Source organism: Homo sapiens, chromosome 22 (assembly GCF_000001405.40).
Source record: "Homo sapiens chromosome 22, GRCh38.p14 Primary Assembly".
NCBI lineage: Eukaryota > Metazoa > Chordata > Mammalia > Primates > Hominidae > Homo > Homo sapiens.
The window spans coordinates 47583542-47600095 of record NC_000022.11 but is presented as its reverse complement, the minus strand read 5'-3'; the positions used below and the strand labels follow the sequence as shown (position 1 = coordinate 47600095).

At 48.4% G+C, this 16554-nt stretch overlaps 1 annotated feature.

The window, feature by feature from the left end:
• Positions 10786-11985: an enhancer, noted in NCBI's record as "P300/CBP strongly-dependent group 1 enhancer chr22:47983860-47985059 (GRCh37/hg19 assembly coordinates)". NCBI's record gives its function as "activates an origin of replication core promoter dependent on BRD2, BRD4, P300/CBP, MED14 and CDK7 cofactors, with strong dependence on P300/CBP, by STARR-seq in HCT116 cells {active_cell/tissue: HCT116}" and the evidence as "EXISTENCE:reporter gene assay evidence [ECO:0000049][PMID:35650434]".

Below are 16554 nucleotides of genomic sequence, written 5' to 3'. Positions count from 1 at the left end.
TGCCTGGGCTGTGCACCCAGCATGTGTGGCGACGGCCCCTGCTGGTCATCCTCCGCCACCTGACCCCACCCAGATCGCTCTGTGCCTGCGTCGGGTCTGCAAGGAGCTCTTTTCTCTTGAGCCGATAAATGTCAAAGGCAGGGTAGAGCTAAGCCTGTTGAGGCAGAGAGGTCCCCAGTCTCTGTGGCCTGGACCTGTCTGAGCTGTGCGGTGAGTGTTACAGGCTGGGCTGTGGTCTCTGTCCCCACCCATTGTAGCTCAGACCTAGAAAGGAAGATTGATGTTTGTGAGTGTGATGCTGATGCGGAAAGAAAGGGAAGCAAAGGCAAAGTGCATAGAAGCCCAGAGCGTGGGGACACTGCCCAGGCCAGGGACAGGGAAACTTTCAGGGCATTGGTGTGGAAGCCGGTCTTGAAAATTGAGCGGAAATGTACCATTTCTAAGGCTAGACCTAAATACTGAATGAAGCCCCAAGGAAATTAGAGGAGGGGCCTTGGCAAATGAAGCAGAAATCAAAGGCCAGGTGCAGAGGCTCACGCCTGTAATCCCAGCATTTTGGGAGGCCAAGGTGGGCGGATCACGAGGTCAGGAGACCAGCCTGACCAACATGGTGAAACCCTGTCTCTACTAAAAATACAAAATTTAGCTGGGCACACGCCTGTAAATTTAGTGGTAGCACACGCCTGTAATCCCAGCTACTCGGGAGGCTGAGGCAGGAGAATCACTTGAACCAGGAGGCAGAAGTTGCAGTGAGCCAAGATCATGCCACAGCATTCCAGCCTGGTGTCACAGCGAGACTCCATCTCAAAAAAAAAAAAAAAAAAAAAAAAAAGAAATCAAAGCAGATACTTAACTCCTCTCATTCTCCAAGACTCAGCTTGGGCATTGCCCTTCTAGGAAGTCCCCAAGGGGGTCCCAGGTTGGGCTGAAGACCTCTCCTCAGGCGTTCACCCATCCCTGCAGAGTGTCCTGGGTGCACTTCCAGCATGACAGAGTCTAACAAACAGTGGTGTCTTCTGCATTAGAAACCAATTATTAACTGGCGAATGACCATCTTCTGATTTGAAAGACAAATGAAGTATCCCTATTAGAATGTCCACCATCCAGAACATGAACAACACCAAGTGCAGGCGAGGGCTTGGAGCAGCGGGAACTCTCATCACTGTGGGCGGAATGCAGAACGGGGCAGCCATCTTGAGGACAGTCTGAGAGCTCCTTACAAAGCTAAACTCAGGCCAGATGTGGTGACTCACACCTGTAATCCTAGCACTTTGGGAGGCCAAGGTGGGTGGATCACTTGAGGTCAGGAGTTCGAAACCAGCCTGGCCAACATGGTGAAACCCTGTCTCTACTAAAAATACAAAAATTAGCTGGGTGTGGTGGCGGGCACCTGTAATCCCAGTTACTTGGGAGGCTGAGGCAGGAGAACCACTTGAACCCGAGAGGTGGAGATTTCAGTGAGCCAAGATCACACCACTGCACTCTAGCCTGGGTGATAGAGCCAGACTCCATCTCAAAAAAAAAAAAAAAAAAAAAAATAGGGCTAAAAGCTAAACACAGTCTTTCCATATGATCCAGCAATCACAGTCCTTGGTATTTTATCCAAATTCATTGAAAAGTTATGTCCACCCAAAAACCTGCATACTGATGTTTATAGCAGCTTTATTCACAATCACTAAAACATGGAAGCAACCAAGGCATCCTTCAGCCAATGGATGCGTAAATACATTTTGGAGCATCCAGAAAATGGAATATTATGCAGTGCTAAAAAGAAATCAGCTCTTAAGCCATAAAGAGATATGGAGGAAACTTAAATACATATTAATAAGTGAAAGGAGCCAGTCTAAAAAGGCTACATGCTGTATGAGTTCAACTATATGACATGCTGGAAATGGATACAATAAAAGGATCAGAGCCCAGAGTTTTGGGAGGCCAAGGTGGGCAGACTTCTTTAGGCCAAGAATTCAAGACCAGCCTGGGCAACATGGTGAGACCCCATCTTTACAAAAATAATTTTTAAAAATTAGCCAGTTATAGTGGTGTACGTCTGTAATCCCAGCTACTTGGAAGGCTGAGGCAGGAGGATCACCTGAGGCCAGGAGTTCAAGGCTGCAGTGAGCTATGATTGCACCACTGCACCCCAGCCTGGATAACAGAGTGAGATCCCATCTCTTAAAAAATAAAATAATTATAAAATAGGATCAAGAGTTGTCAGAGGTTGGGGATTGGGAGAGGGTTGACTAAGAGAAAAACAAGATTTCCTGGGCAGTGAAACTATGCTGTCTGACACTGCAGTGGTGGGCACACGCCATTATGCATTTGTCAAAACCCATGGAATGCTCAAGACCGAGGGTGAATGTTCATATAAACAATGAACTCTGGGTGAGGACGTTTCAATAGAGGTCCAGCAATCACAATGAAAATGTACAAACTACCATGGTTGGGGAAGCTGATAGTGAGGGAGGCTGTGGATATCTGGGGGCACAGAAGAAAGGGGAACTCTCTGTACCATCAGTTTCATTTTACCATGAACCTAAAACTGCTCTAAAAATTAGTCTTAAAAGAAAAAAAGACAAGTGAGGCACATGGAAGCAAAACGTGTGAAATTCACATGTTTCCAAGCAAGGAAAGTTCTCAGCCTCTGCTATGTTGCATTTTCCTGGATGATCCTGCCTCCCTGTATCTGAGTGTTCAGGTGCAGTACCTGCTCAGGTGCGGTACCTGGTGTGCAGTGGGATAACAGGAGCTTAGCATGTGTTTGGTGTCAAATGCATGGAGGATTGAGGAGGGGCCTCAGGTTCTCTGACGAGAGAGTGGCCTGGCCTCTCCACGGGGCAGGCAGGGTGGATGACAACCGCTAATCACACAGCAGAAGCCACGGCAGCCAGGACATTCCTGCTGAACAAGGTCAGCTGCCTTAAGGAGGAGACAGAGGAGGGACTCTTCGGGAAAAGGCAGGTGCATAGGAGGGAGGAGCGGCATTTCTAAGCCCTCGTGGTCAGACATCTCTCTCCTTATCTGCCTTGAAGACAAATGACCCTTTCTGCTTCGAATGCCATTTCCAGAATGCATTTCAACAGCAATAAGTTAAAATATACCTTGCTAAAGGAGAGGGAGTTTTTGAGGCATTGTGTGCCCTGGGGCCACTACCGATGTGGGTTTTGAAGTGTTTTATATCAGTCCGACCATCATAAAATAACCATGGAAACAAGGTAGAAAGCAAGTCCAAGTGGGTCTGATAGAAACGAGCCTCATGGGAGAGGAGGGAAGAGGGGATACCAGTCTTGGTCTTCTACTCTGACACCAACTTTACTCGGAAACTTGCCAGGTAGGTAAATGTTCAGAAAAGCGAAACTGCTGTCAAGGCCCCCAAGAATTAGCAATACGAATTATTTAGGGCATTTAGAAGCATTTCTCACCAATACACTGTTTCCTGGAGGCACAGGACACTCTGTGGCCATAGGGAGTGCCCTGGTCGGTGCAGAAGCTAAGTCAATTTTAGCTGCTCTTTAAGGAGCTTGTGGGGCTTGGTTCAGGCTCCATCCACCTGCAGTTGTCTAAGCCCACACAGAGCCTGGGAGTGAGGTCAGGTGCATGGACTCAGTGTCTCTATGGGCAAAATACTCTGCAACCAGGCCCCACAGCAGTGCCAGGGCAGCGTAGGTCAGACATGGGTCTTCTGCGGGCTGTCACACAACAGGTGGCCAGGGCCATAGGAGGACTGAGCGCCTGAGGACCTGGGGGAGGGTTAGTGTCTGGTCAGGGACCGGGTCACTCGTCTGCTGCCAAGGGTCTCCTGACACACCAGGAAGGGAACTGCTCTGCACCCTGCAATCTCCCACATCAAAACGCAATGCACTCTAGCCCCGGAACTCATGACTTCTCAGGGCAATACGTGGGTCTACATTTCCTCTCTTATTTGTTTATTTATTTTTGAGATGGAGTCTCACTCTGTCGGCAGGCACGATCTCAGCTCACTGCAACCTCCACCTCCCTGGTTCAAGCAACTCTCCTGCCTCAACCTCTCAAGTAGCTGGGAATACACGCGCGTCCCACCATGCCCGGCTAATTTTTGTGTTTTTAGTAGAGACGAGGTTTCACCATGTTGGCCAGGCTGGTCTCGAACTCTTGACCTCAGGTGATCCAACTGTCTCAGACTCCCTCCCCTCTTATTTTTAAAATAACGTGCTTTCTTTATAAAATAATACATTTTTGGGTGGGACACGGTGGCTCACGCCTGTAGTCCCAACACTTTGGGAGCCCGAGGTGGGTGGATCACTTGAGGTCAGTAGTTCGAGACCAGCCTGGACAACATGGTGAAACCCCTGTCTCTACTAAAAATACAAAAATTAGCCGGGTGTGGTGGTGGGAGGCTGTACTCAGGAGGCTGAGGCAGGAGAGTTGCTTGAGCCCAGGAGGCGGAGTTTGCAGTGAGCTGAGATCGCGCCACTGCACTCCAGTCTAGGCAATAGAGCAAGACTCTATCTCAAAAAACCATAATAATAAAAACAAATAAATAAAATAATATATTTTCAGTATTAAAAATTGAAATGCGCATAAATCCAAATAAGAACATAAATATCTCCCACCCAGCATCAGTCACTATTGATGCTTGGTCTGTATTGAGGATCCCTGGGTGAGTTCACTAAACCTCCTATACCTTGGCACCACAGATACGTGGGGCAAATATTTTGCTGAGGCAGCTGTCCTGGGCCTAGGAGGATTCTGAGCAGCACCCCTGGTCTCCACCTGGTGTCCACCCACCAGAGACCAATAGCACCTCCACCAGGTGTGACCATCAGAAATGTCTCTAGACATTGCCAGTGTTCCACGGGGAGCCACATCAGCATACTCTTGTGCTTTCTGTCACTTACAACCAACAAGGCCTGGTTCATTCTAGGAACTCTTGCCTGGCATGTTTAGGTAATTGCCTGAGAGGGTCTGTAAGCAGGAGGGGCTGGTGGTTGGGGATGATGGACAGGCCCTTGCTGCTGCTCCTGTCAAGTGAACAGGAAATGAATGCAGAGTTGATGGAAAATGAAAAGGACAGATTTTGGGAGCAGATGGCTTGAACGATTTGGATTCTGCCATTCATCTGCCTGATGCAGCACGAGAGCACACCAGATAGGAGGGTTTAATTAGCAAATTCATAACAAGTCAGCACTTGGGGATGCTGGGAAGAAGGATGAGTTTTGGTGCCACTCCTTGTGCTGGATGGGACCGTCCAAGCTGTGTGACCGTGGGCAGTTACTTAGGTGAGCTTACAAGGTGAGCTTAACAGTTACTTCACCTTGTTCTTGGGCAGGTCACTTCATCCCAAAGGACACTGGTCTCCTCTGCTGTAAACCAGGGACCCTCTCATTCAAGGCCATTGCAAGCATTCATGAAAGGATAGAAAGCACCCAGGCCAGGGCCCAGTGCGAAGCAGAAGTGGAAGACATCAGCACTGATGGTGTCACCAGCATCGTTATTATCAATTTCCAATCATGTTAATAGCACTAAAACACAGGGTAACCCGGGGAACCTCCTTGGCACCCCCACACTCTGCCGGCTCCATAATCTTAGTGCCTGCTGTCAAGTGGGCATTCGGGTGACAGTGTGTCAAAATTCTGCACATTTGGGGTTCAAATGAAAACCAATGCATATTCTAGGGTTTGACAATGTCTTTGAAAAAAAGAAGATAAAAACTGCATGAGGTCAGAGGTTCCACTCAGAGGGAGCTGGCAACCTTCCCCCCACCAAGCGGCTCTCTACCCAATGCAGCACTTTGTGAAGTCAACCACGGAGGGCCAGGGAGCTGACCAGAACCTGGCAAGCACCTACCTTCCAATCACTTGGAATTCTGCTGGTCTGGGAGCGTGTGGAGCCCTGTGCCAGTCGCGTGGAGAATGCAGGGACAAACCCCGTCCCCAGGGTGCTCTGAGCCGCACTTCAGAGAGAGCAGCCCTGGGGGCAGAAGGGGCACTGCTTCTTCCAGCTGCAGACACCAGCTCTGCACTGCTCCTCAGAGCGTGTCCAGCACCGAACGACCTACAGCGTGGCATGGCGGTGATGTCACCAGGACCCTGCACGTGCTGTATTAATTCAGGCTGCCTTAACCCGGCACCACCGGGCAGCACAGACAACAGGGACTCACTATCTGACAGTTCTGGAGGCTGAAAGTCGGAGGCCAGGGCGTGGGCAGGGTTGGTTTCTCCTGAGGCCTCCTTGGTTCGTAGATGTCGCCTTCTCCCTGTGTCCACACACAGGCCACTCTTTGTGTGTCTGTCTCCTAATCTTTTCTTCTTATGAGGATTCCAGGCAGGCTGGACCAAGGCCCACTCTAACAACCTCATTTAACCTCAATCGCAGGTTACGTGAGGCCACTGTTGTAATGCTATGAAGGAATACCTGAGAGCAGGTAATGTATAGAGAAAAGAGGTTGAATTGACTCACGATCTGCTGGCTGCACACACATGGCGTCAGCATCTGCTCCTGGTGAGGCCTCAGGGAGCTCCCGCTCATGGCACAAGCCAAGGGGAAGCCAGTGCATCACATGGCAAGAGCCAGAGAGGGGAGGGAGGCACCACACTCTCGTAAACAACGAGAGCGCACGTGAACTCAGAGCCGGAACTCACTAATGACAGCGCGGGCAGCACAGAGCCGTTCATGAGGGATCGGCCCCCATGACCCCATCACCTCCCACCAGGTCCCATCTCAACACTGGGAATCATCTCATTTCAACATGAGACTTGGAGGGGACAAACATCCCGCCATACCACCCCTGTAAAGACCCTGTCTCCAGACACAGTCATCTTCTGAGGTCCTGGCAGTTATGAATTTTGGGCAACACAGTTCAGTCCATAACAGCTGGGTTTATGATTCCAAATTTACAGGGCAGAAGCAGAGCCTTATGCCTCAAGGCTATACCTCTTATTGTTAACGTCTCTCCAATTGGTATCCTGGGCTACCAAAACCATTCATCCAGCTAGGACTTGTTGCAATCACGCAGTGCAGTGGCCACTGGGCCATTCCCTGCCCATGCAGCTTGCATTCTCCTGAGGTGAATAAGGTAAGATGACCGGGTCCCTGTGCTCAGGGCCATCTTTGTGAGCTCTCAGGGGCACTGGCCGACCGAGCCTCTCCCTCACCCATCTTCCAGACAGACGCCCGGCCACAGCCTGATGCCCCATCTCCATGGGGGCCCGGGGAGTTCCACATGCTACAAGGTTAGAGCTTGAGGGCAAGGTATCAGAAAAGCTTAGGGCCTTCCTTGAACTTCAGAAGCAGGGAGCATCTCGCTATCAGAACTGAGGAGGTTCCTGCAGAGGCAGGTCCAGATGTATGAGGACACAGAGCAGTATAAGCCGATTCTCCCAAGAGGTCAGGAAAGACTCCAGGCTGTCAACATGGAAATGGTCCACAGAGGCAGGGACAGGCACGGTCACCTAAGATGTCCAGGCCACCACAGAGTCACTGTCTATCTGAGCTCCAGAGGCAGCGGCTCTCTCTGTAGTTGTATTAGTTCATTCTCAAATTGCTATAAAGAACTACCTGAGACTGGGTAATTTATAAAGAAAAGAGGTTTAATTGGCTCATGATTCTGCAGGCTGTACAGGAAGCATGGCTGGGGAGGCCTCAGGAAACTTTTTTTTTTTTTTTAGATGGAGTCTCGCTCTATCACCCAGGCTGGAGTGCAATGGTGCAATCTTGGCACACTGCAACCTCCGCCTCCTGGGTTCAAGTGATTCTCGTGCCTCAGCCTGCCAAATAGCTGGGATTACAGGCACACCCCACCATGCCAGGCTAATTTTTGTATTTTTAGTAGAGACAGGGTTTCACCATGTTGGTCTCAAACTCCTGACCTCGTGATCCGGCCACCTCGGCCTCCCAAAGTGCTGGGATTACAGGCGTGAGCCACCCCACTCAGCCGGGTTTATTTTTCTCTTGCTGTTCTTTCTTTTGTTACAGGCATCACAGCTGAAAACTCAGATGGGTCGAGGGAAAATTATTCTTTTTCCTAAAATCTCACATCTTGTCCGCAGCCCATGGTCGGGCCAGATGTGCTCAATGAGTGAAGAGAGGACTGAAATACTGGGTGCTCACCGGGCTGTTGGCAGCTCATGTGGCCCCTTCCCCGGCCATGGTCTGTTTCTGAAATGCTCTGTCTTGAGAGACGACCCTCAATGCTTTCGTTTCCTTCGGGTGACGGCTCTTTCAACACCTCCGTGGGCTCAGTGTCACACGACGGCACGTTTGCTCTGATGGGTAATTAGGTGTGAGGGTTTCTAATTGCATCACTTTATGTCTGATATGAATCAGGGCCTGATGGCTCCTAATCGGGAAGCTTCTCAATGACTCAGGCGCCGCTTCCATTTCCACTGGAAATCCGATTACTCATGGCATTTTCCTTTGGATTAATCTGGAATTTTAATTTCAACAAGGGGATCCATCAAAGGATGATATCTATTCAATACAAATTAATCCAATTGGTTACCATAATGTGAAAATTAACACGGTGCCTGGAGTTCTTGTTCCACACGTTAGTCAAAGAGAGTGGGCTGATCGAAACAGCATCAGCTGCACCAAGGGCGTTCCCCTCACTTTGTTGTTACAAACCTGACAGCCCCCTGAGCCTGCAGGGATGGCCCAGGGTTGAACAAGTTCTCGATTTTGTGTGGTGGGCAAATTACCACATCTTCTCAATTGTTTTTTGGGGGAAAAATCCATATGGACCTGACTACTTATCAAATGCACCAGGCTCAGGATTTCCTAAGGGAAACCTGTGTCTTCTCGCCTGAACCCACGGCTGAGGCCAGGCCCTGTACACGGTGCCCAGTGGACATTGCACCGATGAAGGGGTTTTAATTCATAAGCGATGGTGTAGTTCAGCCCCACAGGCCTGGCATTCAGCTCAGCCCCTCCGAGGCCCCCTCTGCCCAGCATTCCGGGCCCAGTGACTTATGGTACTTGCCCTCCCAGCTGCAGGGTGAGCACCAGGTGAGCAGGGCTGGCAGAAGCATGAGGAAGTTTTACACTGGTTTTATATTTTCCTCTGAGTTGGCTGGGAGGCCCCTCTCTGGAGGGTGGCTGTGAACTCTAGCCCTGCCCTGGTGGAGCTCAAGGGCAGGTGGCTGTGGGTGTCACAGTGCATCTCTCAGGGATACTTCTTTATCCTGACGGACAGCCTGATGCCTCAGTGTCTGACTGTGATCAGGTGTCCCTCTCACAGGAAACTCGTTTACCCTGGCAGACGCCCTTTGGCTCTTGTCCGACCTGTGTCCAATTTATTCCCACCAAGACCGCCACTCCCTAGGAGAGCCCTGGCCGGCAGAGAGTTAGGTCTGGGTGCGTTGGTCAGGTGGGCCACGGGGGAGACAGCACAACAGAACACATGAAATAACAGAAGCGGTTTATCACTCCCAGGTCCACAGAGAAGAGGGTCCTGCAAGGAACTGCGGGAAGTCTGGAGACGGCAGGGAGCTCAACCAGCAGGTGGTCGGGGGTGGAGAGGGAGAGAGAGAGAGACCTGCGGGACTAAAGCCTTCTTTGGAATCAAAGAGATTACCGGGGCAGGTTTCCCATAGGGAGTTCTAATTGGTGGGTTTGGAGCAGGCAGGAGTTCTGTGGGATCATGAGATGGCAGATGGGGGTCACTGCTGCGTAGACCTGCACAGTGCATGTGGGGGTGGGTTCACTGCTGTGTAGACCTGCACAGTGCATGTGGGGGTGGGTTCACTGCTGCGTAGACCTGCACAGTGCATGTGGGGGTGGGGGTCACTGCTGCGTAGACCTGCACAGTGCATGTGGGGGTGGGGGTCACTGCTGCATAGACCTGCACAGTGCATGTGGGGGTGGGTTCACTGCTGTGTAGACCTGCACAGTGCATGTGGGGGTGGGGGTCACTGCTGCGTAGACCTGCACAGTGCATGTGGGGGTGGGTTCACTGCTGTGTAGACCTGCACAGTGCATGTGGGGGTGGGTTCACTGCTGTGTAGACCTGCACAGTGCATGTGGGGGTGGGGGTCCTTGGGTTGTATTCAGCTGTCCTGTAGGGCACGGCCCCCTGGCAGGTGGTGGTATAAGGCAGACATCTTGATCGACTGCCTTGAGGAACTGGGAGGAGATGGAGAACTGGAACTCCGGGAGAGGGTGACTGAGCTTTGCTTCTGGTGTGAGAGTTACACCTATATTCAGAATGCACGCTGAGACAAGGTAGAATCACAAGAATGCACTGCAGTTGGCCTCATCAGATCAACTTTCCTAAAGAGCTGAATGGACAGTGGCTTGCTTATAAGAGCCCTGGGAGGCTGGAGGACAGATGAGGGTGGCTCGGCTAGGTGTTGGCAGGACAATGGTGTGAGAAGGAGCAGGATCTGACTAATGCGGTGGGGACAGTGCCATCAGCATTGCTGCTGGATTCGACGTGAGTGAGAAACAGGGAGGAAACAGCCGACCCCCAGGTTTGCTTCTCAGAGCTGAGTGGAAAAGTCTGAGAGGAGAGTGGGTTTTGTCTGGGCAGGGTCGTGGCCTCACCGAGCATGCCTTCAGCAGGATGGGCAGACTCTGGGGCAGAAATGTACAACTTAGCATGTCAGCGCCAATGTAACAAGACTTACTTCTCCCCACGCCGTCCACCGGGGCTGGTCTTCCTTCATCTCTTGCCCTCCAGAGCCAAGGTCCCCAAGGTGCCACTGCAAGGGAAACCATGGGGGAGGAGCAGCCCGACTCCCTTAGGGCAAAGAAGATTGGGACTCACAGGTGGCACCTGGGCCATTTGCTGAGTGCTCTGGGCTCAATATGGGCTTGCCCTGCCAGTCTACAAACATGCCCAGTGGTGTGAAAGCCCCCAGCCAAGGACAGAGGGGAGTGCTGCAGGGATCTCCTGTGTCAACTGAAGAACCATGAGGTTCAGAGATTTGGAAGAGCTTTCTTTCTCGTAAAGGGCTGCAGCCTGCAAGTGGCCATCCACAGGCTGGGAAGCGTAGCCTCTGACATAAGCTGGAAACAGGCACTTGGAGGGAGGGAAGCATAAGACAGGAATGTACAGTGAGTGGGGAGACTGAATATACATATTCAATAAGCTATGAGAGGAGCCCTGAATATTTATGAGAGCAGGAGATACATGCCCATGCCCATTTGAGCTTCATACCTCTTCAGGGATCACATGTTCAAAAACTGGCAGCATTAAGGTGACCCGAAGGTGGAGATTTTGGCCCTCTAATGTCAAAAGGTGAACCACAGCACACGGAAGCTGTCACTGGGCATCCCCTGAAGACTGGCCTGAGCCCCTCCATGGCTGGTGGTCTCTCGTCAGGAAGGGGTGCATTGTGAAACTGGCCAACTGTCACATCTGCAAAGAGGGAGAGGAGCTCAGGCGCAGACTCAGAGGACTGGCTAAAGGTGATGAAAGAAGGAGTCATCCGTTCCTTGGAAAGAGTCATCGAGAGCTGGTTTCTGCTTACTCCTTAGGAAAGCATTCTGGTTAAAGGTTAATGAAGAAGGGACACACTTTGGCATAACAGACCTCCCGTCTCTTCCTGGCTGGGAACTCTGTTTTCAAGGTTTCCCTGGGGACTCCTTGGCCAAGAGGGGGTCTGTTCGGTCAGTTGAGGGGTTTAGGATTTTATTTCCATTTATCAACTGGGAGTGACTAGGGTGTGTGGAGCCTGAGGAGGGCACCCAGGCGTCAGCATCGAGGAGGGAAGTCCACGGACCAGGCCCAGGGCATCAGTGTCCAGGGCTCGGGGTGGTGAGAAGGAAGCAGCAATGGTGGCTGGGGAGGAGCAGGTGAGGAGGCAGGAAGAGAGTGGGAGACGGCAGGACAGAGATTTCAGGAAGACCCCTGACTGGCAAATATCACTCTCATGATCTCAGGGCCTCAAATGCATTATGACATTGAATTTGTCCTCTTCTGTCACCATCTTTTAATATGGGCATTTAAAGCCTCATTAACTTGGCTCTTAACATCCTAGAAACCAAGGAGCTTGGATTGTCCAGCAGTCATGGCAAAAGCCCTGGATCTGCCTGGACCTTGGTGGCCTTGGGAAAGTCACCTCCTCTTTCAGCCTACACTCAACTCCAGGACACACCCTCTCGGCCAGCACCCCAGGCTAGCGGTAGAATTCACAACCCAGCAGGTGGCAAAAGTCTTTTGTTAACTGGAAAACCCTTTGCAAATATGAGGTAGTATTATATTTCTTCGCCTGGTACAGAGAAGAACTTTGCAGAAACCACATAAAATGCTAAAATAAATGAGGTTTTCTCCTGCCCTTCCATAAGTGAACAGAGTGTAATTGAACTTCTGGACTTTCCCCCAGCTGTTTTGAGTGTAGGTTCCTTTTGAGTCCCTTCATTATTGCGGAAACATTTGAACCATCATCCTTTAAGTTTATAGAGGGATCCCTCGGGACGAGGCATTCCCACTGGCATTATTTTGATTGGCCTTCACAAGATGTCCTGAGTGCGCAGCCTGGTGTTATTTTGAGGACAGCTCAGGATGCTGAGGAGCCCCGTCTTGGGCAGGGTTCAGATGCTAGAACTGTCATCCATGCCAGCGGTGCCTCTGGGTTTGGAAGGTCATTCTGTGAGCAGCCTGGAGGGTAAGACATACAGGTGAACTTCGAGACACTAGGTCTGAAGACAGGGAAGACATCACAGCACCCCATGCATGGATCAGTGTCCCAGAGGGGCTGTGGGGTCTCCTGCTGAGATCCATAAGGTGACCAGTTTTTCCTGCTTCTCCCACATGCTGGGACATTTCATATCCTGGTGTGGACATCTGGGGTGCAGTGATGGGTTTAAAACCAGAAGTGTTCTCTGCAGTGTTTGTAGCTTCAGCTGATGTTGTCCGTGTATGCAACAACCTTGTGGATAAACATCCTGGCACAGCACAACTGGAAGGACCCTCAGAGGCCTTCCATGTCCAAATTACAACTCTTATATGTCAGGCAGGGCTTGAATTCCCCCAGAGAGGGAAAACCGGAGCCCCAGGACAGCCAGCAGGAGAGAGGCCGAGCCACAGGGTGAACCTGCTCTCCGCCAGCCACCTGCCTGCCTCACTGTGGGAATGGTGATTAAGTACACAAATCAGGGACCCCCAAAGCCACATTCACGGTCTGTCCAAGTGAAAATAAATAACAAAGAACGTGGGGCTTAAAGAAGGGAGGTCCAGGTTCATTATTTGTTCAACTGCTCAGCCTACGTAGAGCTCCCACTTTCCCAAGTGCAAAAAGGAAAAAGCAAAACCCCGAGGCACTTCTTGCCACACGAAGGGCTCACAGCAGGGTAGTTTTTTTCCCCACTTCTACCCCCTAACTAGAATTAAGCAGAAAGTTCCAGAGAAAAATTGAAGGAGAGAACAGCAGACCCCAGGATCACCTGCAACATCTGCAATGCTACAATTTAAAGCAATTTTGCCAAGTGAGCCAAACAATCAGGGGAGATCAGCTGAGGGTGGGTGGTTGAAAAGGTTTTTTTTTTTTTTTTTTTAAATTGCTTGGGCAAATGGTTCACACCCTATCAACATGACTTATTTTCAGTTTGATATTCCCCAGTGGCCATTCTTCGTTCATGGAAAGGAGAGTTGGCAACAGCCCAGAGATCTCACCAAGCATTTTCTCTATTGATTTTTTTTGGAACTCATTGACTAATGGGGTCATTTGGCACTGGGATCACAGAGAATCGGAGAGAATCTCAAGTCCGGTGTTGACTTGGAAGCTGAAATGTCTATTCCTGGAAGGGGGATGGGGAAGTGTCCAAATCGATGTCTTCTTCATGTAGAGAACCACTCAATCCAGGTAGGATGCCTCACTCCACACTTAGTGCATGACTCATGGGAGCATTTTAGAGCTATCTTGCTGTGGTTTATTAACAATATGTATTTGATCTTTGTCCCTGGTTCCCAGCAGAGGGCACCTAAAGCCCTTGGAATTTCCTGAGTGACAGGAGTGTCTTTTGTTATTCATATTCATATTGGAGTGTTTGCCAATAAGGTGACAAAGGATGGGACTCCTAGATGGCATCAGGACAGGCTGGCCACCAGGAAGACCAAGGAATTAGAAGTGGGGGAAATCTTTCAGCCCCACCCTTTCCGCCCTCTCTGCGTTGCCCCTTCACTCCCAGGGGAAGGAGGCTGGAGAATGAACTCTATTAAAGCAATTTTTTTCTTTATTCATTTAATAAAGAAAACTAATTTTGTAAAACTAATACCTTTCTGATGGAAATTTGTTTTTTTAATTGACAAAAATTGTATGTATTTGTGAACCCTAACTTTCGTGACAGGTCTCGGTTACTTTCGAAAGTTCATTTTGCCAAGGTTAAGAATGCACACCCATTACAGCCTCAGGAGGTCCTAAGATATGTGCCCAAGATGGTCAGGGCACAGCTTGGTTTTATACATTTTATGGAGACATGAGATATCAATCAACATATGTAAGATGAACATTGGTTCCATCCAGAAAGGCGGGACAATTCAAAGCCATGAGGGGGCTTCCAGCTCACAGGTAGTTGAGAGACAAACGGTTGCATTCTTCTGAGTATCTGATTAGCGTTTCCGAAGGAGGTAATCAGATGTGCATTTATTTCAATGAGCAGAGGGATGACTTTGAATAGAATGGGAGGCAGGTTTGCCCTTAGCAGTTCCCAGATTGACTTTTCCCATCAGCTTAGTGATTTGGGGGCCCCAAATTTATTTTCCTTTCACATTTCCCCCTTTTTCTTTTTAAAATCTTTTGGAGAAAGTATTTTAGAAGAAAATGAGTCTCTGGTCTCAGGCTTCATCTGATCTCTCATGGCTAGGACAGTTTATTCCTACATGGGTAGGTTTCAAGTTATTAGAAAAGCTCATTTATAGCAGGTTATGAAGTCTCATGTCCTACAAAGAGAAAATAGGGGGAGGAAGGGAGAAAAACAACAACAAACAAAAGAGCAATCCCGGAAAATTGATATAGGCCACATTACTCTGAAGTTCATAATAATCAGTAGACAGGTATGAGAGTGACTTATGTATGTAAATAAGTTGCTGTTATTTTCTTCTGGAGTTTAAATTGTCTAGCTTCAGTTCGAAGGGCTTTAAGAAAGCACAGCCTAGTTTTCAGTGATTTCAAATTAGGAAAAATGGAGGAAAAAAAGAAGAAAAAAATTAAAATATTATTTTGGAGATTTGTAGCCAGGAAAAATTAGAATTTAGTCCAAACTGTAGAAAATAATAAAAATTGAAAAACATAAGGCAAGACTAGAATTTAACAACAGGTGTACTATAGTTTTTGAAACATAATTTTTCTCTCTCCAGTTTCCCATTTTTACTAAAGACAAATCATGGTAGGATTGATTTTCTTATACTTGGCCATATTATTTGTATAAAGTGCAGCAAGAATAATTATTCTTCACATAGGCTTTTTAAATTGGCTTTGATGGAAATTTGCTCCAAAGAAGGGATCTTAGATAAGATTTTTTTTTAAAGCTGAGCTCAGCCATGGCTTTGTACCATCAAATACCTATGAGTTGGGTAAATTCCTATCCTCTTGAGGTCCCAAGATAACTTAGGGCTCCTGGGCCTGTCAGAAAGTGACGTTCTTTACTTACCACAGGTTAGGAACCCTGTACAGGGACTGTGTAGACAAGGTATGCAGCCAGTTTCTCCAAGGGGCTTTTATTGGCTCTGTAAGTCAAATTTGATTCCTTAAAAGAAAGCACACCATTCCAGTCACAGCCTTGGTAAAATAACCAGTTTCTCCAATGGTGTCCTGTTGCAAAAGAAAACACTCTTATTGTGCTTATGCAAATAACTATATTGCTGTAAGTTAAGAATACTCACAAATAGTTTCAAAATTCTGGAGAAATCAGGTAGAGAGAAATAAATATGCTCCAAATTTTTTTCACAGGAGTATACTTTACTCAATTGCTCCATGCTGTAAACAGTTCAAAAGAAAGGTTTCTCGACCCTGAAAAACAAAACAAAGGATTAGCAATGTTTTAAGCAAAAAGTCAAAAGATTACTTTAGTCTTCTATTAGTTCAGTCCACACAGTTAACTCCTGTTTGATATTCATGAATATCCATGAACATTCCAGCCTTCTGTGAGTCCAGAAAGTATTTTCCCCTCTATTCTAATGCCACAATCTCCAAGGTTATCAGAACAGCTATAAACTGTTTGCTGATTATAAAACCACCTTCGAAAGAGGATCAAAACAAGGCAATAATTGTCTGTGGATGACAAAAAATTTTAGGAAAGCCATAGCCAAAGAAACAATGTGTTACCTCTGTGACAAGGAAATGTGTTACATCCATGGCACACAATAGTTTAACATAACAGTTATAATTACTACTGATAACATACACTAAGTCATATTGGAATTACAGGAGTTTCCCATAATTTTGGAACACATACCAATAACATATTTATATAAATACAGCCCAAAGAAAGCCAAACACCATTTCATATTTGACAATGCTTCCTGTATGATTTTTATACCAAATAAGCCAAATATATTATTTTTGGACTTTAGGGAACCTAATATCTTAAAGGATTAATTAGGTCAAAAAAAGACATAATTTGGCCAGGTATGGTGGCTCA